Source organism: Homo sapiens, chromosome 14 (assembly GCF_000001405.40).
Source record: "Homo sapiens chromosome 14, GRCh38.p14 Primary Assembly".
NCBI classification, from domain to species: domain Eukaryota; kingdom Metazoa; phylum Chordata; class Mammalia; order Primates; family Hominidae; genus Homo; species Homo sapiens.
Genome location: NC_000014.9, coordinates 93,481,013 through 93,508,370, shown reverse-complemented (window position 1 = coordinate 93,508,370; position 27,358 = coordinate 93,481,013). Strand labels below are relative to the sequence as shown.

The following is a 27,358-nucleotide window of genomic DNA, read 5'->3' as shown; positions in this document are numbered from 1 at the left end:
TGCTGTTTTTAATAAACAGGGATAGGGTCTCACCATGTTGCCCAGACTGTTCTTGACCTCCTGGCTTCATGTGACCCTCCCACCTCGGCCTCCCAAAGTGCTAGAATTACAGGTGTGAGCCACCATGCCTGGCCTTTTTTCGGGTTTAGTGGGTTTTTTTTTTTTTCGACAGAAATTGAAAATTGAAAGCTGATGCTAAAATTTAAATGGAAATGCAAAGTCTCTAAAATAGCCAAAGTAGTCAAAGAAAAAGAACAAATATAGAGATTTGAACTATCTGATTTCAAGGCTATAACATAAAAGTATTTAAGACAATTGTATTGGTGTACAGACAGAGATACAAATAAATGAAAACAAACACAGTCCATAAATAAACCCACAAAAATATGACCAAGGGGCCAATATAATTCAAAGGGGAGAAAATAATCTTTTCAACAAAGGGCACTGGAAATAAGGAAATATAAATCATAAGGAAGACAATAAGCCATAGCCATCATACACAAAAATTAAACTTAAGACAGATCATAGACTTAAATGGAAATATAGACCTTCTGGAAGGAGAAAATCTTCACAGTCTTGGAGAAGGCAAAGACTTCTTAGACAGGACATGAAAGGCATTGACCATAAGAGCAAAAATGATAAATTTCAGTTTACCAGATTAAAAACTCATGCTCATCAAAATAGACACTGTTAAGAAAATAAAAGAGTAACCCCAAGACTGGAATAAAATATTTGTATTATATAAATCTGACAAATGACTTGTATCAAACTAAATAAAGAACAACTACATATCAACAACAAAGAAGATAAAGAACCCAATCAATAATTGGTAAAAGACTTTCTCAGGTACTTCATAAGATATAGGAATAACCAATAATTATATAAAAATGTGCTCAACAGCAGTCATCAAAGAAATTTAAATTAAAGCCACAAGATACACACTCACCAGAATGGCTAAAATTAAAAACACAGACAATTGCAAGTGATAGCAGAGTGGAGAGCAACTGAAACTCTCATAAATTGTTGGATGAAATGTAAAATGGCATAAACACTTTAGAAAACTGTTTAGATACTTCTTATAAACTCTATGACCCAGCAATTCCAGTCCTAGGTATATACCCAAGAGAAATAAATGCGTAAGTCCACAAAAAAACTTGTATAAGATATTCATAGCAGCTTTATGTATATTGGCTAAAAACTGAAAACAACCCAAATATACATCAATAGGAAGGTTGATAAACAAATGACATATCCATGCAATGGAATACTTAGCAATAAAAAAAAGAACTACTAATATCCACTAACATGGACTAATCTCAGTAATATGTTGACTGAATGGATTCAGAAATGAAAAAATGTATCATGTTTGATCTCCATTTACCTGAATACCTGAATTAGATGAATATATGAATTATGTAGAAACCAGAATAGTGATCACTTCAGAATGAGAGAAGGGGATGGTGTTTGGAAAAGGCATACCATTATTTTCTGGGTTGATGGAAACATTCCATTGTCTTTTTTGGATGACGACTACATGAGCATTATACATTTGTCATAATTGACCCAGCTGTACATTTGATACTTGTGCATCTAACTTATGTAAAATATACCTTAATAAAGTACTATCACTAACAAAAGAGAGATAAGCCTGACAATTTTCCAGTGACAAAATACATCAAGCCACAGATCAAGTCCTATGAACCCCTCCAAAAAGACAAACATACATAATATCATAACTAGATATATCATAGTAAAGCTGCCAAAAATAAAAAATAAAGAGAAAACTTTTAAGACAAAGAAAAAAATGTTTATCTTCAAAAGAGTAATAATTGGCAATTGACTTTGATAGTCAATTTTTTATAGAAACAATGAAAATGAGAAAATCATGAAATACCTTCAAAGTATGAAAAATAAAATGACTGCCAATCAAGGCTAGCCTGGCCAAGATGGTGAAATCCCGTCTCTACTAAAAATACAAAAATTAGCCAGGCATGGTGGCAGGTGCCTGTAATCCCAGCTACTCAGGAGGCCGAGGCAGGAGAATTGCTTGCACCCAGGAGGCAGAAGTTGCAGGTAGCTGAGATCGTGCCATTGCACTCCAGCCTGGGTGACAAGAGCGAAACTACATCTCAAAAAAAAAAAAAAATTGTATACAATGAGAAAATAGCCTTAAGAAACAAAGGCAAAACAAACATTTTCAGACAAACACTAACTGAGAAAACGTATCTTCAGTAGAATGGCACTAAAGGAAATATAAAAGGATATTATTTTAAAAAACTTCAATCCCAGATAGGAGCTTAGAGATACAAAAAGGGGAAAATAGCAAGAAAAAGGAAAATATAATCTAACTGATGCACTGAACAACAGTAATTATGTTTTGTAGAATATATAATATGTATATATATAAAATAAAGTATAGCATGGAAGTCAGGAGGGAGTAAATGGAGTTAAAATTTTCTGCCACTTTACGCAGCAATATAAAAGTACTACTTTATACTGGACACTGATAAGTCAAGAATGCATGATATAATCTCTAGGGTAATGATTGAAAGAATAGTAGAGGACTAAATAACTTACAAAGCCAAAGATGGGGTGATGAAATATTTAAATATACTTAGTGCAAAAGAGGCAAAAAAAAAAGAGAGAGAGAAAAAAGAAAAAAGAAGCAGGAAAAATAGATCACAATAGAAAATTGTGGATTTAAAGTCAAATATACCAGTAACTACATTACATATATATGGGCTAAATGCTCCAATTAAAAGGTAAAAATCGTAAGTATTGAGTTTAAAGAACTATATGCTGATTACAAGACACACATAAAATATAAGAATACAAAAAAATTGAAAATTAAAAGATGGGAAAAGTTATACCATGCAAACACTCATGAAAGCTGGTATAGCTACATTAGTATAAGACAAAGTAGATTTTAACACAAAAAGTATTAGAAGAGATAAAGACATGCACTTTGTAATGGTAAAAGTTTCAATTAGCTGGGAAGATACTGCATTCTAAACTTGTATACACCTAATAATGCAGCCTGAAAATATATAAAACAAACATTGACAGAACTACAAAGAGGAATAGACAAATCCACAGTCATAGTAAGAGATTTTTAACACCCTGCTCTTGGTAACAGATAGAAGAAATGGGCAAAAATATCATGAGAATATACAGGATTTGAATTAAACAATTACAAATTTAATTTCATTGACACATGTAGAACACTGCACAAACAACTGCCAAATAGAAGTTCTTTTTACATTCTTGAGTTCTTTTTAAGTTCTTTACACAGGAACATTTACAAAAATGACCATATGTTCAACCCTAAAGAAAGTGTTAAAAATGGCAATGGAATGAAATAATACAAAGTATGTTATCTGACCACAGAAGGATAAAGCTATAAATCTCCTTCTAAATGACCCATGGGTCAAAGAAGAAACCATGAAGCATTTAGAAATCAGCATAGCACAGGATTTAGGAATCAGCATAGCAGTGAGATTTAAGTCACTGCAATAAGGCAAGAAGACATAAAAGGCTTATGGATTGAGAAAGAGATATTAAATGTGTATTATTCAACAATAATATAATTGTGCATATTAAAGTAATTTTTAAGCAAGACTACCATAATAAATTATTAGAAGTGAAAAGTGACTTAGCAAAGTTGCTGGATACAAGACCAATATACTAAAAATTAATTGCATCTACATACTAGCAACAAAGAGTTAGACAATGTAATTTTTAGAACATATATAATTGACAATAATATTCTAAAAATAAATATCTAGGAATAAACTACATGAGAGATATGCAAGACATCTACACATCTACATCTAGTAGAAAACTAGAAAAAGGATTGAGGGCAACTTAAAAAAGCCTAAATAAATGAAGAGATATACCATGTTCATGGATTGGAAGATTCAATATTATAAAGAAGTCAGTTTCCCAAATTGATCAAGATTATCTCAACACAGACTCAAGACAATCCCAATCAAAATCCTAGCAGTATGAGTGTTTGTATATGTTTAACTTGACAAATTTTTTAACTTAGCAAACAGCTAGGAATAGGCAAGATATTATTGAAGGAGGAGGAAGAAATGGAGGAGGAGGAGAAAGAACAGAAAGAGGAGAAGGTAGGTGAAGACAAGGAAGATGAAGAGAGCAATAATAACAAGGTAAAGGACTTGCACAGGTGGATTTAAAATTTTATTATTAAGCTACAGTAATTAAAAGAGTATGGTATTGGTAAAAGGAGAAATAAACCAGTTGAACTAAGAATCCAGAGACAGAATCATTTTTAAATAGACACTTGATTTATGACAAAAATGGTACCACAGAATAGTAAGGAAAGAATAATATTTTCAATAAATAATGTTGAGCCAACTGGCTATCCATAAGAGAAGAGATTGGCCGTTACCTCATACCATATAGAAAAATTAATTCCAGATACATCTAAAAGATGAAAAACAAAGATTATAGAAGATGACAAAAAAGCATTATAATTTTGGGGTAGGGAAGGATTTTCTTAGATAGGACATGAAAAGGATTAAATATGAAGACAAAGAATGCTAAGTTGATAATATTAAAATAACTTTATTTAATGATAAGACATTATTCAGAAAATAAAAAAACAAGATATTTGCAACATATATAACTGACCAAGATCATATAAGAGGATGTTCAAATGGCAAATAAACATAGGAAGAAATGTTCAGCTTCACTAGTAATCAGGGAAATGCAAATTATAATCATAAGATACTTCTACACACCCTTGAAAATGGCTAAAATTTTTAAAACCATCAAAACAAATAATAACCAAAATGTGGAAAATAAGACAAAAAGAACTCTCATACACTATTAATGAGAGGACAAATTAATACAGCTACTTTGGAAAGCTGTTTGCCATTATCCATTAAAGTTGGATATATGTACATCCTCCAATCCAGGAATTCCACCTTAGGCACCTAACAGAAATGTATGCAAGTATGCACCAAAAGACATATACAAGGATGTTCACAGGAACATTATATATAAAAGCCAGAAAGTGGGATTAATCCAAAAGTCCACTAATAATAGAATGGATAGGTAAACTATGGTACATTCATTTGGTAGAATAGGCACAGCAATAAAAAAACAAAGTACAGTTATCCTCAACACCATGAACAAATCACATACACACAACACACACATACAAATAAATAATGGATTATTCCATTTTTATAAAATTCTAAAACAGACAAAACTAATCTTGGGTATTGGAAGTCATGTCAGTAGTTACCTTTGGGGTGTAAGAGGGAACATATGGTAGGAGGTGGTCCATGAACACTTATAAATTTGTGATTATCTGCATGTACACAAGGCACAGGTAAAAAAGTTTTAAAACATTTTTAATTATGTAGAGATAAGATTGAGTTAATAAAACAGATAACTAAGAACTCAATGTGACATAAAAGAACTGGTAGACCTTCTTGCACTTAACTTGTATACATCTCAAAAATCCAATGTACTGATGTGATATTTGGTAGCCTAGACCAAAATTTCACCTTGTAGTACTGTCTTGAGTTATTCTCTATCTGCTTTTGCAACAGTCTGTGTCTTAGAAAGGTACAGTCCCTGTCTTGGAAATGTGGAGTCTGTTTCTTGGAGATGTACATCTTGTGTAACATCTTTTGTCCTATAGTTCAAATGGAAACTGAACAATAACTGCTGCTGTTCCTTACTAACAAAGGCTAAATTATTTTCTAGTTGGGACACTGTAACAGGAAAATTGCTAAATAATTTCTTTCTCTCCCACAGAAGCAGAAAAGCATAGAACAACATAATGGCTATTTTCATTGTCAAGAAACTTAAGTTACAATTTTTTGCATTTTTTTTAAACAGGAGAAAAAGTCATTTTAATTATATACATACACATGGGAGTCCCATAAAAATATGAGACATCAATTTTTTGCATTTTTTTTTGAGACATTGTCTTGCTCAGTCACCCAGGCTGGAGTGCAGTGGCATGATCTCAGCTCACTGCAAACTCCGCCTCCTGGGTTCACACCATTCTCCTGCCTCAGCCTCCAGAGTAGCTGGGACTACAGGTGCCCACCACCACACCCGGAATTTTTTTTGTATTTTTAGTAGAGACGGGGTTTCACCATGTTAGCCAGGATGGTCTCGATCTCCTGACCTGGTGATCCACCCACCTCGGCCTCCCAAAGTGCTGGGATTACAGGCATAAGCCACCATGCCCGGCCAATTCTTTCCAACTTTAAGGCCAAAATAATTGGAGCAGTTGTTGTTGATATACACTAATAAACCAAAAAGGAAAAAACATTGTAGATCACCAAATTCTTATTATTTGATCTTCTTTGTATGAGCTGTAAATATTCCTATGTTAACTATGTTTAGAAAATAATATATAATTCCTACACATATATGTGAAGTTAAAATTATGGTGAATTACTAACAATCATTAACCCTGTGTGTTAATAGTGATTCTTTAAACTTTCCTGTGTTTGACATCTTTTATCATAAATAGTTGGGAGGAGCCTTGTGTAATTACATACAATATGATCTTAATTATAGGTTTTAAAGTTCACCAAAACCTGTAAATAAACCAAAATGTTAACAATAGTCATTTCTGGATGGTGGTGGTGTTTTTCCTCCTTACATATTGCTATAATTTTTCTTTTTTTTTTTGAGACGGAGTCTTGCTCTGTTGCCAGGATGTAGTGCAGTGGTGCGATCTCAGCTCACTGCAACCTCCGCCTCCTGGGTTCAAGCAATTCCCCTGCCTCAGCCTCCCAAGTAGCTGGGATTATAGGCACGCACCATCACACCCAGCTAATTTTTTGTATTTTAGTAGAGATGGGGTTTCACCATGTTGGCCAAGATGGTCTCGATCTCCTGACCTCATGATTTGCACACCTTGGCCTCCCAAAGTGCTGGGATTACAGGCGTGAGCCACTGCGCTGGCCACATGTTACTGTAATTTTTCTATAAGTAAATTTTCCTTTTTAAAAAAAAATTTTGCTTTTTTTTTTAATTTATTTTTATGTTTTTGAGATGGAGTCTTGGTCTGTCGTCCAGGCTTCAGTGCAATGGCGCAATCTTGGCTCACTGCAACTTCTGCCTACCAGGTTCAAGGGATTCTCCTGCCTCAACCCCCCAGTAGCTGGGATCACAGGCGTGCACCACCATGCCTGGTTAATTTTTGTATTTTTAGTAGAGCTAGGGTTTCACCACGTTGGCCAGGCTGGTCTCCAACTCCTGACCTCAGGTGATCCACCTGCCTCCACTTCCCAAAGTGCTGGGATTATAGGCATGAGCCACCACACCTGGCCAAATTTTTACTTTTTAAAGAGGAAATGCTGTAAATCACTGGGAAAACAAACAAAAGTTGCTGGTTCCTAAGAAAGCATTTCATCTTTGAGCTTCTAAGTTAATAAAATCCATACAATTTTCATTAAGAATATTTGGGGTTATAGTGCCATTTCAATACTGATGATACTCTTTGGTATGTCTTGCAGTAGGCATTGCAGACAATTTCTAATGCTTTACCTAATGTTTAATTAAAGAACTGAACTGAAAAAAGTGATGTAACACAGTTAAAGTAGAAAAATGTGGGGCTCAAATTCAATCTGTGCCCTTATTATTTGTGTGAATTTAGGCATGTTACTTAAACTCTATGTCCCACTCCTCATTTGTAGAACAGAAATAGGACAACTGACTTCCCAATATTTTTGTAAGGTTTAATTGAGAAAACATCTGTAAAACCTAATATGGTGCCTGGTCCATAGATTGTCTTCAATTAGGAGAGGGCTAAAAAAAATTAGATAATATCATAAGCAGCTAAACAATGTCTGACCAGCAGCCGGTGCTGGATAAGTAGTAATCTATAGACCGGAATGATTTTTTTTTTCTGTGATCTTTTGTTTCCTACACAGAATGCCATGGTCTACTAGAATGGGAGTTTCAAGAGAGCTACTTCCCCAGTACTTAGGACAGTGCCTGGAGGGCAGCAGGCATCCCATAACAGACTGCTGAAAGAATGGAAGCATGACCATATCATTGCAAGGATGGACTGAAGAATGAATGCCCTCAGACAGAGACATCTTGGTACGCTAAGATGAAAGTTGCTCTGGTTGTAGTGGGCATAGGCTGAGCTATTTCAGTGAAGACAGGTTTGACTGAACCTTTCTCGGGGCAATGGCCACGGGGATGGGTGGAAGTGGCTGTCAGTTTGCTGGGTTTTTGAGATGCTCTGAACAGGCAAATCTCATCAAGTGGCTTCTCCATCTAAAGCCTGTGCCTGGCGTCCCTTTGCTGTTAGGATAAAATCCAAACTCCTTCCCAGGCCTATCAGCCTCTCTGCTCACCTCTGGCTACTCTCCTCCTCTCACTCCAATGTCTGGCTACATTGGACTTTTTCCAATTCCTAAATACTATCATGCTATCTTCTGCCTGCAGTACGTTCTGCCTTGCAACTCACACTTTATTCACTCATGCCTCACCCGTTTCTGACATCTAGTGTGTATATATCCTTCAGGTATCAGCTTAAATGTCACTTACTTGAGAATCTGCCTTAACAAATACCCCTTCCCAAACTTGCCCACATCCCGTTGAGGTTAGAGACCCTTTCTGTGTGTCCCCACAGCTCTCTGTATTTGTTCTACTTTAGCACTTATTACCCTGTAAGGCAGTTTTGGGGTCTTTCCCCAACAATTAGAATGTAAGCTCCAAGATAGTAATGATTTTCATGTTTTCTTTACTGCTTCACCAAAAGCGCCTAGAATAATGCCTGCCTAATAGTAGACACTCCATAATTATTTGTTCAATAAAATGAATGGATTTCCATGTCTAGATTGTAGTAAGTTCCCTGAGACCTGGTTTTGTGTTGGTTCCTGTATTATTAACAGAAAGTACAGTGTCTGGCACAGAGTAGTTACTCATCAAATATTTATCAAATAAATAAATGTTATTTAATACTGATTATCCATTTATACTTCACGTAAGTGCTTATTTCAGGGATCGAATGGGAAGGAGTGTCAAATATTTCAGTTGTTTCACCTTTTATTCTATTAATGCTTCCGTATGTTGTGCTGCTTTTACATTCAAATCATTCACTTACCAACACTTAAACATTCTCTGCTATCTGTGATATACAGCACCTATGATACCAATTCCCATTTTAAAAAATTTACTTACTATCTACTTTCATTGTTTTTATTATTGTTACCATGTATTTTGGGCTTAGAATAAGCCCACCAAGGGCCACCAAAAGCCCAAACAACAAGTATTACCATCTCTAACACTTGATTTTAAGTCTTTCATCGGGAACGTAAATCAGACACCTGAATTCAGTTAAATCCCCTTGAAAACCACCTCAAATCACCTTTGTAAATAACAATAATGTGAACAAATAAGTAGATTCTCAGAACATCAGTGTGCAATCCTACAATAACTTGGAGAAAAGTCAACCTTGCAAAAATATCTCTCTCTCTCATTTTCAGAAAATTATACCTACAATTAAGCAGGGCAAAAAGGTGAACAAGGGCATCAAAAACTCCATTAGCCATAGGTTTCTTCTTTGATTTAATAATATATATACATAAACAACCTCCTAGGACCTGGAGGTTGTTGATTTGTTTGTTTGTTTCGCAGGATTTTTTGGTAGATATCTGTCATTATATTTAAAGTTAATGTTCTTTTCTCATTATTAATTACATCAAAATTCATTCCCTGTTGAATGGCTGAGCAACCAGGCTATCGGGGTCATTTTTTTGTTTGTTTTTTGAGACAGAGTCTCACTCTGTCACCCGGGCTGGAATGCAGTGGCTTGATCTCGGCTCACCACAGCCTCTGCCTCCTAGGTTCAAGTGATTCTCCTGCCTCAGCCTCCCAAGCAGCCGGGACTAGAGGCACGTGCCACCACGTCCGGCTAAAATTTTTTTGTATTTTTAGTAGAGACGGGGTTTCACCATGTTGGCCAGGATGGTCTCAATCTCCTGACCTTGTGATCCACCCGCCTAGGCCTCCCGAACTGCTGGGATTACAGGTGTGAGCCACCACGCCTGACCTATTTTTTATTTTTTATTTATTATTATTATTATTATTATTGAGACAGAGTCTGGCTCAGTCACCCAGGCTGGAGTGCAGTGGCACAATCTTGGCTCATTGCAACCTCCTCCTCCTGGGTTCAAGTGATTATTCTGCCTCAGCCTCCTGAGTAGCTGGATTACAGGCACAAGCAACAAAACTGGCTAATTTTTACATGTTGGCCAGGCTGGTCTCAAACTCTGGACCTCAGGCGAACCGCCCATCTCAGCCTCCCAAAGTGCTGAGATTACTACAGACATGAGCCACTGCACCCAGCCTATCGGGGTCACTTAATTTTTTTTTTAGACAGAATCTCGCTCTGTAGCCAGGCTGGAGAGCAGTGGTGCGATCTTGGCCCATTGCAATTTACGCCTCCCAGATTCAAGCAATTCTTGTGCCTCAGCCTCCCAAGTAGCTGGGACTACAGTCGTGCACCACCACGCCCAGCTAAGTTTTGTATTTTTAGTAGAGACGGGGTTTCACCATGTTAGCCAGGATGGTCTACATCTCCTGACCTTGTGATCTGCCCGCCTTGGCCTCCCAAAGTGCTAGTATTACAGGCATGAGCCACTGTGCCCAGTCTGGGTCATTTAATTTTTATTTAGTGCATGAGCTGGTGATATTGAAAGTGCTGCAAGTCTTCTTATCAGAGCAGAATCTGCTAGTTGGGGTTTCTGCTAAATGATGAGCAAATTTGCAGCATCACTCTCACTGCTCATCCCTGTGGAGTGATTAATGGTAGCCAGAGTTAAGACCCTCAGCCAGTGGTACAGCAAATGGGACTGAGACTTAAGGCAATTTGCCCTGAGGCCATAAATGCTTTTGAAATTGATTTGAATTAATTCATCTTTAAACCACTTAGTTTCAGAAAGGATTTATGACCATGTCCAAAGGCATAGAAAATATAATCCAGCAAGATAAAAATGTATGTATAAGTAGGTGAGGCCAGTGTGGCACAGGAGAAATACAGATGGGGCATCACAGGGCTCCTCTCCTCTTACCTGTGTACTGCAACCCCCTGTACTCGCTTATTGCCCCAGGAGGTTTTAAATTGGGCCAGTAGTGGAAAAGCATTTGCACAGCTGGAGGCTTCACTTGTGAAGGCCCATACGCAATCACATACAAAAGATCCTAAAGGAAACAGCAAGCATATTTTGACTTAGCATCATGAAATAAAAAGAAAGGTAGAGACTTCAACATTACCAAAGCAGTGAAAATTCTAATGGAGGGATTGAGGTGAGTAATTTCCCTGGAATCTCATGCAGACATGTTTCATAGATTAGATCACGTCAAAACATTATATTTTCATGATTTATTTATTTACTGATCCTTCTGTAAATGAGCCCTCACAGGTAGAGTACAAAGTACTTTATCTTCTAACAAATTGATCTCTAATCAGATTGATGCTAAAGAAAGATTTTAGAATAGCACAAGACAGTTTGCCAAATACCATATTTGAAAAAACATTTCCCTAATCACATTTCTTAAACATTCACATCTCCTATTTGAAAGAGGACACATTCTCAAGCAATCTTTCAAATTAAATAAAATTGTTTGTCATAACATATAATATTAGCTTAATTCCAAGAATAAGATACATTCAATTACTTTATCCGTCAAGACACGATGTTCTTAAAGTACCATTTCTGCTCTAAATGATAAATAATTAACCATTAAAGAAAGAATTATAGGTTCTGCCACATCAAAATAATAGGACGTCAATAAATTTGACCTAAACAACAGTTTTAATACGTAAACAGTTTTTACTGTATTATACAAATTAAGTTTGTGACTATGGGTTAAATTTGACCCAAAACTTACTTTCCAGACTTCTTGTTTATATTTCATGAGGCATTCCAGTAATTGACAATGATACACTGTAATGTAGAAAATGTAATTCATACATGAAATGTAAATACCAGACAAAACATCCTTTGATATACATATATAAGAAATTACTTCAATATGACTTTTCAGTCTCTAATCATTAAATTAGAAATAACTTCTCTCCATATATTCATACTTAAAAAATATCACATAAGCCCTTGACTTTATCAAGCTTTGTCCCAAGGTCCTTGAGAAGTATTTCATGCTTCATGTTAACAATGGAAATATTTTTAATGTCGGTAGTAATCATACATTCATAAAATAAACTTGTATCAACATAAGATCTACATAAGAAAAAAAACTAGCCCAACAGAATCATAATAAAAGCTCACATTTATTGAGCATTCATTATTTGCTAGATACCGTAGAAAGAGCTTTATATGTATTATCTCACAATTGCTATGGTGCAGTTAGGAAACTAAGCCTCAGTTTCCAACTTGCCCAAGGTTGAATGGATAGGAAGTGACAGACTTGATGGATTAGAGTGGGGTTTTATAATTTCATCATCAGTTCCATCTTATAGAGGAATTTTTAAAAGCTACATGACAGCAAGCTTCCTTGATTTGCCTATCTTCACTTGGGGAACAAAGATTCTTTCAACCTAGTTAGATGCCTTTTGATACCTTCCCTAATCTATATTCCAGGCCTATGCTGACATTGAAGCAGTTCACACTTTATTCACCAATGACCTCCGTGTCCTTCAATCCAATGGACATTTTCCAGTCCTCATCTTACTTGACTTTTCAGCCACATTCAGTAGTGCTGACTACTGTCTCCTTTTTGAAACACTCCTTGGCTTCATATGAATGACCCTCCCGTCACCTGTGGTGGACAACACTATTGCTACTCAACTGCTGTCAACACCCTTTTTTTCTTGTCCATTTGCCAATTGATATGGTTAAGCTGTGTCCCCACCCAAATCTCATCTTGAATTGTAATCCCCAGGTTTTAGGAAGAAACCTAATGGGAAGTGATTGGATCGTGGGGGCAGTTTGCCCCATGCTGTTCCCGTGATAGTGAGTGAGTTCTCCCGAGATCTGATGGTTTCATAAAGGCAGTTTTCCCTGCACTTGCTGCCACCATGTGAAGAAGGTCTTTGCTTCCCCTTCACCTTCTACCATGATTATAAGTTTCCTGAGGCCTCCCCAGCCATGCGGAACTGGGAGTCAATTAAACCTCTTTTCTTTATAAATTACTCAGTCTCTGGCAGTTCTTTATAGCAGTGTAAAAACGGACTAATACACCAATACACAGACTACAAAAGCAAGATGCTTTCCCAAAGCCCCTTGCAGCTAGAGATGGCCACGTGACTCAGTTCTGGACAGTAAGAATGAAGAGAAAATCTGCTGGGGAGCTTCTGAGACATACTTTCTCCCTCTGATAAAACGAAAGAGGTACACCAGGAGACTTTTCTCTTAATGACTCTGCTTGATCCTATTACCTGTTTTGTAGTTATACGAGGTTATAATAACCTCCACAGTGGCAGCTTTCTTGCAAACATGAGGGGAATTCCAAGATCTCAGCCCCCTGATATTGTGGAGCTATCTTCAGGACTTCCTATTAAGTAAACAACCAATGTGTTTATACTTTAAAGCCTCTGTCAGCCAAAGACATCTTAACAGATGCAACCTCTCTGTCTCTTTGGAGAGCTCATCCTCTTCCACTGGGCCATTATCTGTTGAAGTTTCTGAAGGCCTAATCACAGAACCACTCCACATTTCTTTCATTCTCTGCTCTCCCCTAAGCAATCTCACACTCACACACAACTTCAGCAGCCATCTATATGCAATTCAGTGAAGGTCACTGGACACTTGTGTGTGGGCTCAAAGTTCATTATCTCTAGTCCAAAGCTCTGTTCTGAGCTCCAGACCCATAATACAACTACCTAATTACCAGCTCCTATTAGGTGTCTCAAAGATACTGTGAACACAACACGTCTGAAACAGATCTCAAGATCTTCCCTCAGAGGCCTGATCTTCTTCTTCCAATGCCTCCAGTATCAGTGAGTAGAACCACTGTTACAGTTTGCATCTGTGTCCCCACCAAATCTCATGTTCAGTTGTAATCCCCAGTGTTGGAGGTGGGGCCTGGCAGAAGGTGATTGGATCATGGGGGTGGGTCCTTCATGAATGGTTTAGCACCATCCCTTTGGTGCTGTTCTCATGATAGAGTTCTCACAAGATCTGGTTGTTTAAAAGTGTGTGGCACCATGCCTGTAATCCCAGCACTGTGGGAGGCCGAGGCGGGTGGATCAAAACTCCTGAGGTCAGGAGTTCAAGACCAGCCTGGCCAACATGGTGAAACCCCATCTCTACTACAAATACAAAAAATTAGCTGGGTGTGGTGGTGGGTGCCTGTAATCCCAGCTACTTGGGAGGCTGAGGCAGGAGAATTGCTTGAACCTGGGAGGCGGAAGTTGCAGTGAGCTGAGATTGTGCCACTGCACTCCAGCCTGGGCAACAAGAGCAAAACTCTATCTCAAAAAAAAAAAAAAAAAAATATATATATATATATATATATATATATGTGGCACTTCCCCTTCTCTCTCTTCCTCCTGCTCCAGCCATGTAAGACGTGCTTCCCCTTTGCCTTCTACCATGATTATGAGTTTTCTGAGGCCTCCCTTAGAGACAGGAGCCACTATGCTTCCTGTACAGCCTACAGAACCATGACTCAATGACACTTCTTTTCTTTATAAATTACCCAGTCTCAGGTATTTCTTTATAGCAGTGCAACAACAAACTAATATGACCACCATGCATCCAGTTAGTGCATCCAGAAACCCACTCTAGCCAATATGTTACCAAGTCCTATCAATTTTACTTCCTAAATAGCTTTCAGAAAGATCTGCTTATTCTTCAGTTTCAATTGTCCCTGCCTTTGAAGTGCTTACGCAAATGCAATGACCTCCTTCCAGGTCAATCTATATCCAACCTGGCTTCTTCTCAATCCGTTCTCAACTGCAGCAGGGGTGACAGACACCACAGCCCACTCAAAGCCGTTCAGCAGCTTCCCATCAGATTTGGAATAAACGCAGGCCTCCCTAACATAGCTCACAACACCCTGCATGTTCCAGCCCATGGAACTCTTAAGTCTAGTGTCACACCAGGGAGCCCTCACTCTGAGTTCCAGCTACACTGATCCTTCAGTCTCAGCTGTTTGCCAGACTCCCCCGTGACACATGAGATTCCTCTTCCTGAACCGCCCCCCCTTGTAGGCCTTGTTCACATTATTCATCCTGCAGTTCTCAAACCAAAGGTTACTTCCTCAAAGAAGCCCTCCTGACTTCCTCAATAAAAGCAAAATTTCCTTTTATAACATCTTATAGTATAACATACTTGAAGCACTTGTCACAAGCAAAATTTTACACTTGATTTTATGATTATTTGATTGTCTTCTCGCCTCTCAACCCGACCATACGATAAGCTTCCTGAGATGAGGATGGGGTCAGTCCCATGTCACTAACCATGGAGCCCCCAGTGCCCAGTACATGGTGGATACTCAGTGACTACTGATTGAATGGTTGCTCTAGAATTGGAAATTTGGTCTTAAGCCATCACTGAATTCTCAAGTGCAGATGTTCCAAGACACTTTCTTGTACATAGTGTCTGCTGATCTCCACAGGTCTGCTATATGAACGTTGTTCAGAGCCATCACTGACCCATGAACATACCTGGACAGTTCCTTTGTTAAAACAGCTTCCCCTCCCAGAATGCCCCATTTACCTTATCAATAAAAACTCTGTCCAGCCAGGCATGGTGGCTCATGCCTGTAATCCCAGCACTTTGGGAGGCCAAGACAGGCGGATCACTTGAGGTCAGGAGTTCGAGGCCAGTCTGGCAAACATGATGAAATCCCATCTCTACTAAAAATACAAAAATTAGCCGGGCATGGTGGCATGTGCCTGTAGTCCCACATACTGGGGAGGCTGAGGCAGGAGAATTGCTTGAACCCAGGAGGCAGAGGTTGCAGTGAGCCGTGCCACTGCACTCCAGCCTGGGCAACAAAGTGAGATTCCATCTCGAAAAATAAAACAAAACAAAACTCTCTCCATAATTTAAAACTCATCCTTGGCCCAAGTGACGCAAAATCTTTTCTGATCATTTCAATCCATACAGCTCCCTCCTTCTGATAAATTAACACTGTCTAATATATTTATTTAGTACTCCTATGTACTACATTACATTGTTAACTAATGATTTATGTAAATATGCCTGATCTTCCCAATTAGACATAAGCTTCATAGCAAGTACCATATCTTATGTTTTTGTGTGGTTTTCACAATGCCTAGCACAAAGCCCTGTATATAGAAGGTGCTCAATGAATGCTGGTTACTTAAGTAAGGATTGTGTTCTATCCTTGATACACAATCAGCTACAAGGATCAAGTTGCCAGTTGTGCTTCTTCCAATAAAAATTCAAACAACAGAACCATGACCTACCACTTGGTCCCAGAGAGCCCCTGGTGGATATTGCCTCGCTTAAGTGCTTCCTATATCACAAGACTAGTTTTGGGTCCCAACTATGATTCCTAGTATACAGTAGCTGGTTATAAACATTTCCTCATGAACAAATGAAGATACAGATTTTAAAATAACAGATGCAACTCTACCTGACCACAGTAGTTTTCCAGTGAAACATTCAACTCAACATTCAACTCCAAGAAGAAAATGGCAAATTGTAGGGATTCAGTATTTATTGAGAATTTACAATTTGTCAGTCACTAAAGTAAGCACTTTACATATATGTAACCCATTAAATCTTCACAGCAGCATTTTAAAGTACTGCAAGAAGAATTATTTCCATTTTATAGATGAGGACACTTGGTTTCAGGGGGTAAAAAACTTGCTCAAGTTCACTAACTGGCAATTTGCAGGTAAGCTCAGATGTGAATCCACATACGACTAATCTCAAAGCACCCTGCTTTACTACCCAACTAGCTTAGAAATTTGGACCAGACTGGCATGATGAGACTCTAATTAACTAGATTCCAAATAAATGGTTTTATTAAGGACATAATATATAATAAATATAGTATTTTGATTATTTTAAGCCAGACAGATATATAAGATATAATTTCCCCATATATATATTTTAATTATATCTATATAATAATCATAAGAGATTTCATACTTAAAGAATGCTACAGACTGAATGTTTGTGTCACCTCAAAATTCTTCTGTTAAATCCAAACCCCCTAATGTGATGGTATTAGGATGTGGAGCCTTTAGGAGGTGATTAGTGCCCTTATAAAAGAGGCCCCAGAGAAATCCCTTGCCCTTTTGTCACTTGAGGACACAGCAGAACGACAGCCATTCATGAACCAGGAAATGAGTTCTCACAGATCATCCAATCTACCAGCACCTTGATTTTGGACTTCCCAGCCCCTGGAACTATAAGAAACAAATGTGCATTGCTTATAAGTCATCCAGTTTATAGAATTTTTGTTATAGCAACCCAAATGGACTAAAACAGAAAATTGGTACTGAGAAGTGGGGTGATGCTGTAACAAACAGCTAAAAATGTGGAAGTGGCTTTGGAACTGGGTAACAGGTAGGGGCTGGAAGAGTTTTGATCTGCAGGCTAGAAAAAAGCCTATATTGCCATGAATAGACCTTTAAAAGCAATTCTGGCAAGTGCTGAAAAAGAGAAGAGGAAAGCAGTAGAAAAAGCTTCAATCTTCTTTGAGAATACCTAAATGATCCTGAAGAGAATGTTAGTATAAATACGGACAGCAAAAGCAATTCTGATGCGATCTCAGACAGAAATGAGGAACACATTCCTGGAAAGTGGAGGAAAGGCCATCCTTGCTATAAAGTGACAAAGAACTTGGCTGAATTGTGTTCATGTCCTAGTGTTTTGTGGATGGTAGAACTTGTGAGTGATAAAATTGGATACTTGGCTAAGAAAATTTCTTAGCAAAGTGTTGAAAGAGAGGCCCAGCTGGATTTCTTCTGACTGCTTATACTGTAATAAAATGTGGGGAGAGAGAATGATCCAAAGACAGAATTGTTAATCAAGGAGGAAGAAGACTTAAAGATTTGGAAAACCCTCAGCCTATCTGTATTGACAGGATGAAGAAGCCTGTTAGGAAGAGAATGGGGAGAGTGTAGCCAAGTGACCATTTAATAAGATTAGTCAGCCATCTCAACAGAAGCCAGGAGGTATTGTCCAAAACAATGGAAGAATGACCCCAGAGGCACTTCGGAAATCCTCTGCACTGCCCCTCCCATCACAGACCCAGAGTGCAAGGACCCTGGGGGAGAAATGGTTTCAGAGGAGAGGCCACCAGCACTTTTGAGACTTCAGGGCATGCCACCCCCTCACAAGGCACCTTCTTACATTGTAAAATTCAGTCCTATACCCCAGTGCCTCATTGTTCAGCTGCCCTTTGGGCAGAGCAGCATGCACTGTACCCAGCAAAGGCATGGGGGTGTATTCACCTCCACCTAGATTTCAAAGGATGCCCAGGAGAGCTGGAACTCCACCCTGAGAGAGTCATGGGCACCGGACCCCAGCCTGCAGAGTGGGGCCCAGGAAGGGAACCACTGTGGGGGCCAGGATCACTGTAGAGAGCCCCCACCAGGGCAATGCCCAGCAAGCCATGGAGATAGAGCCACGCAAAGCCACAGGGGCAGGGTCTTGGGGGCCCAACCCCTACATGGCAAAGCTGCTATGCAGGGCCACCACCTCAGTGGGTCCAAAAGACAGAACTCTTACCCCAATGGGTTTGGAAGGTGGGACCTCCACCCCAGTGGGCCTGGAAGGTGGAGCATCAAGTCAAAAAAGGTAATTTTCAAACCTTAAGGTATAATGTAGTTGGGTTTTAGACTTACTTGGAACCTGTTACACCTTTTTTCTTTCCCATTTCTCCCTTTTGGATGGGAATGTCTATGCTATGCCTGTCCAACCATTGTATATTGGAGGCATATAACTTGTTTGATTTCATAGGCTCACAGCTGGAGAGGAAATTGCCTCACCCATATCTGATTTAGATGGTATTCACATGAGACTTTGGACTTTTGAGTTCATGCTGAAATGAGTTACGATTTTTGGGGCTATTGGGATGGAATGAATGTTTTGCATATGAGAATAACATGAATTTCAGAAAATAGGGTGGAATACTATAGACTAAATGCTTGTGTCCTCTCAAAATTTGTATGTTGCCAGACATGGTGGCTTATGCATGTAATCCCAGTACTTTGGGAGTCCAAGGCAGGAGGATCACTGAGGTCTGGAGTTTGAGGCCAGTCTGGGAAACATAATGAGACTGTCTCTAAAAAAATTTAAAAATTAGCCAGATGTGGTAACACATGCCTGTAGTCCCAGCTACTCAAGAGGCTGAGGAAGGAGAATCGCTTGAGCCAGGTAGGTCAAGGCTGCAGTGAGCCATAATTGCACCACTGCACTTTAGCCTGAGTGACAGAGTAAGACTCTGTATCTTAAAAAAATTTTTAAATTAGTATGTTAAACCCTAACCCTCAAAGTGATGGTATTCAGAGTTGGGGCCTTTAGGAAGTAATTAGGTCATTAGGGCAGAGCCCTTATGTATGAGATTACTGCCTTTATAAAGGAGGACCCTGAGAATTCCCTTTCCTTCCCACCATTTAAGGACACAACACCAAGATGGCCATCCATGAACTAGAAAGCAGGCCCTCACCAGACATCAACTCTGCTGGCACCTTGATCATGGACTTCCCAGCCTCCAGAAATGAGAAAAATAAATGTTTACTGCTTATCAGCCACTCCGTTTATATTTCTGTTACAACCCAACGGACTAAGACAGAAGATGACACTCCAAACTAAGAAGCATTCAGATTTTGAAATAAAAAATTTTTCCTCATTCTGAGTCAGAAGTTCAATTACTATTTATTAAGTAATTAAGTAGATAGCAAAAAAAAACCACAGTGTCACTGGATTTGTTTACTTTCCAAATAAACACTAAATGAAAATAAAAATGAGTTTACATGTTAGCACATGTTTTGGTCAGTTTTCCAAAGTTATCTGCAATTATACTGACAAATGGAAATCAAACAGAGTAAATGTGAAAATCTGTCCAACATCACTAGTAATGGAAGAACTACAAATCTAAACAAAGAGATATTAATATTCATCTGTCTAACTCTACACAAATTTTATAATAATAATGACAAATCACAATGAGACAAGTACTTTCACATACTATTGGAAATATTGAAAATTTCTCAAGTCCTTTAACTCATTAATCCCTCTTTTGTTGGTTTATTCTAAGGAAATAATCAGAAATATAGTGAAAGGTTTATGTTTAAGGATACTTGGGTGTATTGGGGTAGCCAATTTACCAAAATATTAACAGTGGTTATCTTTTGTTCTTAGAATTGCAGGTGATTTTTATGTTTCTAATTTTACTATTTCTGTATACTTATATTCAATCCATTTCCAGTCAATGTCTAAAATTGTGTCCTCAAATATTCTAAAAATATCACTAGCCTGCAGGATCACTGCTAATAGCAATAGGCAAGATAAATTGATTCCAACTCAAAAGTCTGTTTTCTACACATCTCTATGATGATGACGTTCTCACATGAGAACATCTAGCCTGCTTGTTTGATGTCTTGTTTAATTATTGGTACTAGAATTAGTCAAACCATTCCAATTTCCACTTACCTGGATTGGATGTGTACTGCATTGCAATCATTAGCATGGATGATGCAGAGAGGTTAACATGGGCAGGTACACCTTCTCTCCTTGAGGAGCCCACTGCAACCAAAAGTTCTTTGATTAGACACAATTTAATCTCTACATATACCTGTTACTTTGCACAGAGCATGAGAGATAAGAAGGAACTTTAAAAAAAAAAATAGCTCCAATAAAGCTAATGGAAGTTTTGCACAAATGAAACCACAAAATGTGTCCTGGCATACAAATGCTACAGTTGTCATCTCCATAGGAAAATTGAGTGAGAATCTATAAGGAGACAGAACAGTGTCAGAAAGTGATGTAATGGCTTTATCTGAGTTGTACTTAGATGGGATCTCTACCCCCATGATGTTTGTATTTAGATGGAAAAGAAAGAAAAAACAGAATCCTCTGTGTGCCCAAAGATAAAGACATATTGAAGGGTATCCCAATGAGAAAATAAAAAGGAAAGGTTTTTAAACTCAAATTGAATGTATTAATTTTTAGAGATGCAGATGAAATAATAGTTTAATTATAATGTATAACATTAATTTAGTTACAATACAAATTCTAAATCACATATTATAAAAAATAATGATATATTAATTTAAAGATTTTCAATTTTCACATATCATTAAACAGTTTTATTCAAACCTTCACGTGTAACTTCATCATCAATGTCTTCATTACCATGAGAACCATTTTTTTAGTTTTCCAGAGCTTACCATCTTCATATTCATCTGAGTTGTTTGAAATAAAGCAATTTGTGAATCTGTGAATAACACAGTTGCTGGGCATTTTATCCTACACCAACAAGCATAAAATCACAAAGCAAATTGGCTTCTTTAAAATCCATCTTACCGCTGTATAATCATGGTCTCCACTCACAAACTGCTTTTAAGACATCTTTAAGTGGCTTGTTTAAGATGACATCAAATACCATATTAAATTTCTTTGTTTCTCATGTTTAAGAGAGTGTATCCAGTCACCCCTTTAAGTATTCAAAAGTAGCACTGATGGAAGTCATTTGGGGAAATACATGGTCTCCCAAGAGGACTTTCTTTCTTTTTTTTTTTTTTTTTTTTTCCTTAGACAGAGTCTCACTCTTGTTGCCCAGGCTGGAGTGCAGTGGCACAATCTCAGCTCACTGCAACCTCCAACCCCTGGGTTCAAGCGATTCTCCTGCCTCGGCCTCCCGAGTAGCTGGGATTACAGGCGCCTGCCCCCACACCCGGCTAATTTTTGTATTTTTAGAAGAGATGGGTTTCACCATCTTGGCCAGGCTAGTCTTGAACTCCTGACCTCGTGATCCACCCACTTCGGCCTCCCAGAGTGCTGGGATTACAAGCGTGAGCCACTGTGCCTGGCCCCAAGAGGACTTTCTTATTTCAAACACAGTAATTGAGAGAGGACCCACCACAGGAGAAACTTTATTAGGACTCAAATATAAAATAAATTCCTCTTTTTCTCAGGGAAAATTGCAGAAGTAGAAGAAACCTCGCCTTACACTTGGGCTTGTGTGGCAGAGTGTCAAGCATGAACAGAATGGTGCAGACAGCATAAAACCCTCAAAAAGTCAACCCTTAGATTTCTAAACATAATAGAGAAGACCACTGCCACAGGCAACAACAAAAAGCAAATAACCTCAAAATCTGCTTTATTTTATTTTATATTAAAGTACAATAGGTGTGGATTATATCTCACCTACATCCAAAAAGGATAGATAACTTCTAATAGAACACATGTATAATAGAATCATCAAAACACTAATAAAAATTTGTCATACAATAAATCAGAGGAGATAAAAAAAATTAACACAATTCTTTTCTTTTTACATAAAGGAATTTGGGCACCAAAGTAGACAGTGGCCTTTAAAACAATTTTACAGAAATAAACAAACAAAACATATCTATCACTAAGTTCCATTTACTTAAGTTGGCTTTTATTAATCACTTGCAGCTAGGCAGCTGCTAACCCAGCTGCCTACGCCGGTGATACTCAGGGAGATAAACTAGTTTGGCTCCACAACTTATTAATAAATAAGTATTAATAATTAGACAAAGATTGGAGAACAATTCACTGCTCTTAGATGTCAAGTTGATTAATCAAATGTGATTAATCAAGAAAGAAGAACTTTCAGCCAAATGCTAAGGAACAAAGTGCACGCTGGCTGCTCTCAAACTGTAGCCAAGCAGCTTGTTCAAATTCAGCTTCTTTGGGGCCAAAGAAGATGCTTCTGGAGAGTCAGCTTGGAAACTACATGTTTCCAGGAAAGTACCTGTTTAATTAATAAGCACATCAGGTGATTCTGATGCAAGCTGGCTTTGGACCACTCTTTGAGAAGTACTATTAGAGGGACGAGAAATAAGAAAGAAAATGCCCAGTAAGGTGTCCAGGTGCAGGAAGAATAATTGCACACCCTGTGCCCTTTGTTAAAAAAAAGAAAAGAGAAATTCTTGTCTCAGATGTATTCAAGAAATACACACACGCACACACACACACACACACGTATATATATACATATATATATATACACATATATATACACATATATATACATATATATATTCTTGTTTTGGGACAAGTGTTTCACCTTTGTTTAAATTCATCTCAAACTTTTTAATAATATGCATTTAATAATATGTATTTCTCAACAATGAAAACTGCTATTAAGGAAGGCTGAGAGTCACTGTAAATGGAGGCCTTTAAAAGTAGGAAAGATGCCCACATGTCTCAGATGATTTAGGCGAAGCCTATTTGCAGAATGGCCCAAATGGCTCAGCCACCTCTGGATGTCCCTCCTATTCCAACAAATCCATACTCTCCCTCAAGAATGACCAGCCAGGAGGCCAAAAGCATTCCCCTGGCTCAAGCCCTAGAAAACTGGCTGCAATACTTACATAAACAGACGGTGCCTTACAATTTCCTAGCCTTCTAACAGACTGAATAAAATCATTGCAATTCTAATTTAATAAACATGCACAGGCACACATCATTTATTGAATCTTGTTAAAAAGGCATGATGTAAACAGATGTGCAGCTTGTCCCCATGAGGGTGTAAAAAGCCAAGACTATAAACAATAGAAGGGAGAAGATAATTAATCAAAATAAGAAAATTTTGCATTTAATATTGTGCTCAGGAAATACAATTAAAAGTTCTCAGTCCTATTCCCTATCCTCCCAGCATCACCAGAACAATCATTACCATGATCTCCTCCCTCCAGAAATAGTAACAATGCCTTAATATGTTCCTGCATTTTGTAGTTCTGAATATATTATTATGTACAGCTCTTATATGACTATCATCCAAAAGAGGAGTTATATAGGAAAAGCCATTTTATGAAAGAGAGATCATCAAGTTATTTGCATGACAGCACCAACCTAATCATTGGGACTGCAGGCCAAGTCACTTGATTTCATAGCTAATGCTCTAGTCACTTATTAAATTCAACAACTTTTTTGGTCAGTACTTCCTGTATACTAAACATTGTTCTAGGTCCTGGGGATACAGTGCTAAAAACAGACAAGTCATCATTAAAAAGTCAGGAAACAACAGGTGCTGGAGAGGATGTGGAGAAATAGGAACACTTTTACACTGTTGGTGGGACTGTAAACTAGTTCAACCATTGTGGAAGACAGTGTGGTGGTTCCTCAAGGATCTAGAACTAGAAATCCCTGATCCCATTACTGGGTATATACCCAAAGGATTATAAATCATGCTGCTATAAAGACACATGCACAGGTATGTTTGTTGTGGCACTATTCACAATAGCAAAGACTTGGAACCAACCCAAATGTCCATCAATGATAGACTGGATTAACAAAATGTGGCACATATACACCATGGAATACTATGCAGCCATAAAAAAGGATGAGTTCATGCCCTTTGTAGGGACATAGATGAAGCTGGAAACCATCATTCTGAGCAAACTATCGCAAGGACAGAAAACCAAACACCGCATGTTCTCACTCATAGGTGGGAATTGAACACTGAGAACACCTGGACCCAGGATGCGGAACATCACACACAGGGGCCTCTCATGTGTCGTGGGGTTGGGGGAGGGGGGAGGGATAGCATTAGGTGATATACCTAATGTAAATGATGAGTTAATGGGACTCCAACATGGCAGCACACCAACATGGCACATGTATACATATGTAACAAACCTGCATATTGTGCATATGTACCCTAGAACTTAAAGTATAATTAAAAAAAAAAAAAAGACAGACAGGTCTTTGTCCTTATGGATCCTAGATGCTAGAGCTGTGTTACCTGATATGGTGACCACTAGTCACACGTGGCTATTTAAATTTAATTAAAATTAAATAATATTAAAAATTCCATTCCTCAGTCTCACTGAACACATTTTAAGAGCTTAGTAGCCACATGGGGCTAGTGGCTACTCTACTGGACAGCACAAAATTTTTAATGTTTTTATGGAACATTCCATCATTACAGGAAGTTCTGTAGACAGCGCTATTCTACAAGAAAGGGCAAACAGGTACTTGTGGCAAAATGGAAGCAGTGCAAGGGAATAAAGAGAAAGCGATGGAAGGTCCTGTTTTAGCCAGAGGGTAAGGAAGGGCATCTTGAAAGATGTACTTGAGCTTGAACCTAAAGAATGTAAGGAAGCAAATAATCATGAGACCATTTGGGAGAAGGACTTTGAAGACAGAGAATAAAGCATGGAGCAAAAGCAAAAGTGTGGTGCCTTTGTGAAACTGCAGAAAGGCCAAGGCTCCTGGAGCAGAGTGAAGACAAGGAGATGTAGTAATTGAAACAGGAAGGTAGTCAAGGGTCAGGTCATAGAGGGCCTGTGAGCTAAGGAAGGGCACTGAATTTGATTTGTAAGAGTAACGGGAAGCTAGACGGTTTTGCTGAAGGAAGTGGCATGATCTGATTTACATGTTTGGAGGATAGCTCTGGCTTTTTGATGGAGAGCAGAAGGTAGGAGGGCTAAAAAGGGAAGCAGGGAGACCAGTTCGGAAGCTACTGGACTGGCCCCAATGAAAGCTGGTGGTAAGAAGTGGCCTGAATGGGGATATACTGAAATGAATTCCAGTGGCTTTATACTTGTCTAAAGGGTGAAGGTAAAGGAGACACCTGGCAGGAAGAAACACATTATGGTGTAAGTTTTTCAATGTGACAGAACCATTTCCTGTATTCTGCCAGACTGCACTGCCTGGATTAAAAAGCGGTCTCACCTCTACGCGGGCCTCCTACTTGTGTGAGCAGAGGTAATTGTGTTCCATGAGATAGGGTTTAAGCATAAGATGTCCATCCCTTCAGAAGGGCATTATCAGTTAAACATAAAGGGAAGACCAAGACAACGTGACCTGGAAGCCTACACAGCATTAAAATATTTGCAGAATTATAGATTAATGAAAAGTCATGGACAGAATGCCCATTAACACTGTGGAAGTGGTCTGTCAGATTCTGTGAATCCAAAAACTGCTACAATCATTATTTTTATTATACAACAAACTCTAGAAGAAAAAGTTGCCAAGCCCCAGCAGATGGCCTCTTACCTCAAGCAATATTTAAGATGATGAAATTTCAGGACAGTGTGTGAATTTCAACTAAGTATTGGAATGAGTTGCAATGGGATTTAACAGGTCTGTGATTTGACTATGCATTTGGCCTGATATACACGTGCATAATATCACATGATATTTTAAGGCTATTCTCATACATTATTCCATGGTCTTCACAACAAACATGGGATGTAGACACAGGAAGTTATCCTTAATCACCATTTTACAGCTAAGGAAACCAAAGTTCCATGAGGTTAGGAGATTTGCCAATAGTTGAAGGATTATAACTCAGCTCTTCTGGATTTCTATTTCAAAACATTTCCCATGACTCGGCAATAAAACTCTCAAAGTATATAGGGAAACCTATCTTAGAAAAACAACCAGTAGCTAATAAAACAGACTGCATATATTAAAGATTATTTAAATATCATTAATATTTTGCATTTTTACTGTTTTTTCTATGTGTTATTAGTCTTTGGAAGGTTATAGAAACATAACATGCACCCTCTGTAGTAGTAGGAATAGAACAAAAAATGGTAAGTCACGCAATTGCCTTTAAGATAATGCCCTTAAGATTTAAATGAACCTTTATTTTTCCTGAAGGTAAGTGACTTTTTGAGAAAATTTAAGGTGGAAAGGGAACTAGATGAGACCGCATAGTCTGGGATACTAGGATACGTTAGAATAATCTTAAACAATTATATCTTAAGCTGATATAATTGTTCAGCTTTATTATCATCTTTACAATAACATAGCCTGCATCAGTCAATGTTCACTTGGAATCAGCTCTTTCTCTTCTCTGCCAAAGCCATCATCTCCCAAATCTCCATATTTCAATTCAGTCCACAAATCACAGATCCTTTATTGGAAAAAGAGAGGTTTCCATGGTGACATGCAAATGACTTTCTCAATTCTTAGTAACTCCTTTAATATATTTTTTATAAACAAAGCATATTGAGCACATTTGGAATAAAGAGAAATATATTTTATTTATGGAAGGAGTTAAAAAGAAAAGCTATGTCAAAGGAAAATTTCACAATAAGTAAGTTGAAGTTTGCTCTGCAGAACCTTAAAAGGACTCATTCTAAAATAAAAGTCCAGCACTTGGTTTATTGACAAGGATGGTAAGGAGGAAATCTCTGATATACATGCTGGCCTCTTACTCTGAAGAGCTGCAATACCTCATTAGGTCCACT

At 38.1% G+C, this 27,358-nt stretch overlaps 1 protein-coding gene across 29 annotated transcripts in view, besides 1 other annotated feature; it reads right to left on the bottom strand.

Annotated features, from left to right (window-relative positions):
• UNC79 (unc-79 subunit of NALCN channel complex) overlaps window positions 1-27,358 on the bottom strand; it is a 374,695-nt gene that overhangs the window by 199,506 nt on the left and 147,831 nt on the right. For 27 of the 29 annotated variants that reach the window (XM_011537027.3, NM_020818.5, XM_011537026.3 and 24 more), the window contains exons 5-7: window positions 20,616-20,708; window positions 11,905-11,960; window positions 11,085-11,214 (exon numbers count right to left, since the gene is read on the bottom strand). In XM_011537027.3, the coding sequence (XP_011535329.1) occupies window positions 11,085-11,214; window positions 11,905-11,960; window positions 20,616-20,708 (279 nt within the window). The remainder of the gene's footprint in view (window positions 1-11,084; window positions 11,215-11,904; window positions 11,961-20,615; window positions 20,709-27,358) is intronic. The other 2 variants (XM_024449668.2, XM_047431622.1) reach the window with 1 other exon arrangement.
• Window positions 18,047-18,546: an enhancer, noted in NCBI's record as "H3K4me1 hESC enhancer chr14:93956171-93956670 (GRCh37/hg19 assembly coordinates)". NCBI's record gives its function as "activates a minimal SCP1, AML or CMV promoter by ChIP-STARR-seq in naive H9 embryonic stem cells {active_cell/tissue: H9 hESC(naive)}" and the evidence as "EXISTENCE:reporter gene assay evidence [ECO:0000049][PMID:30033119]".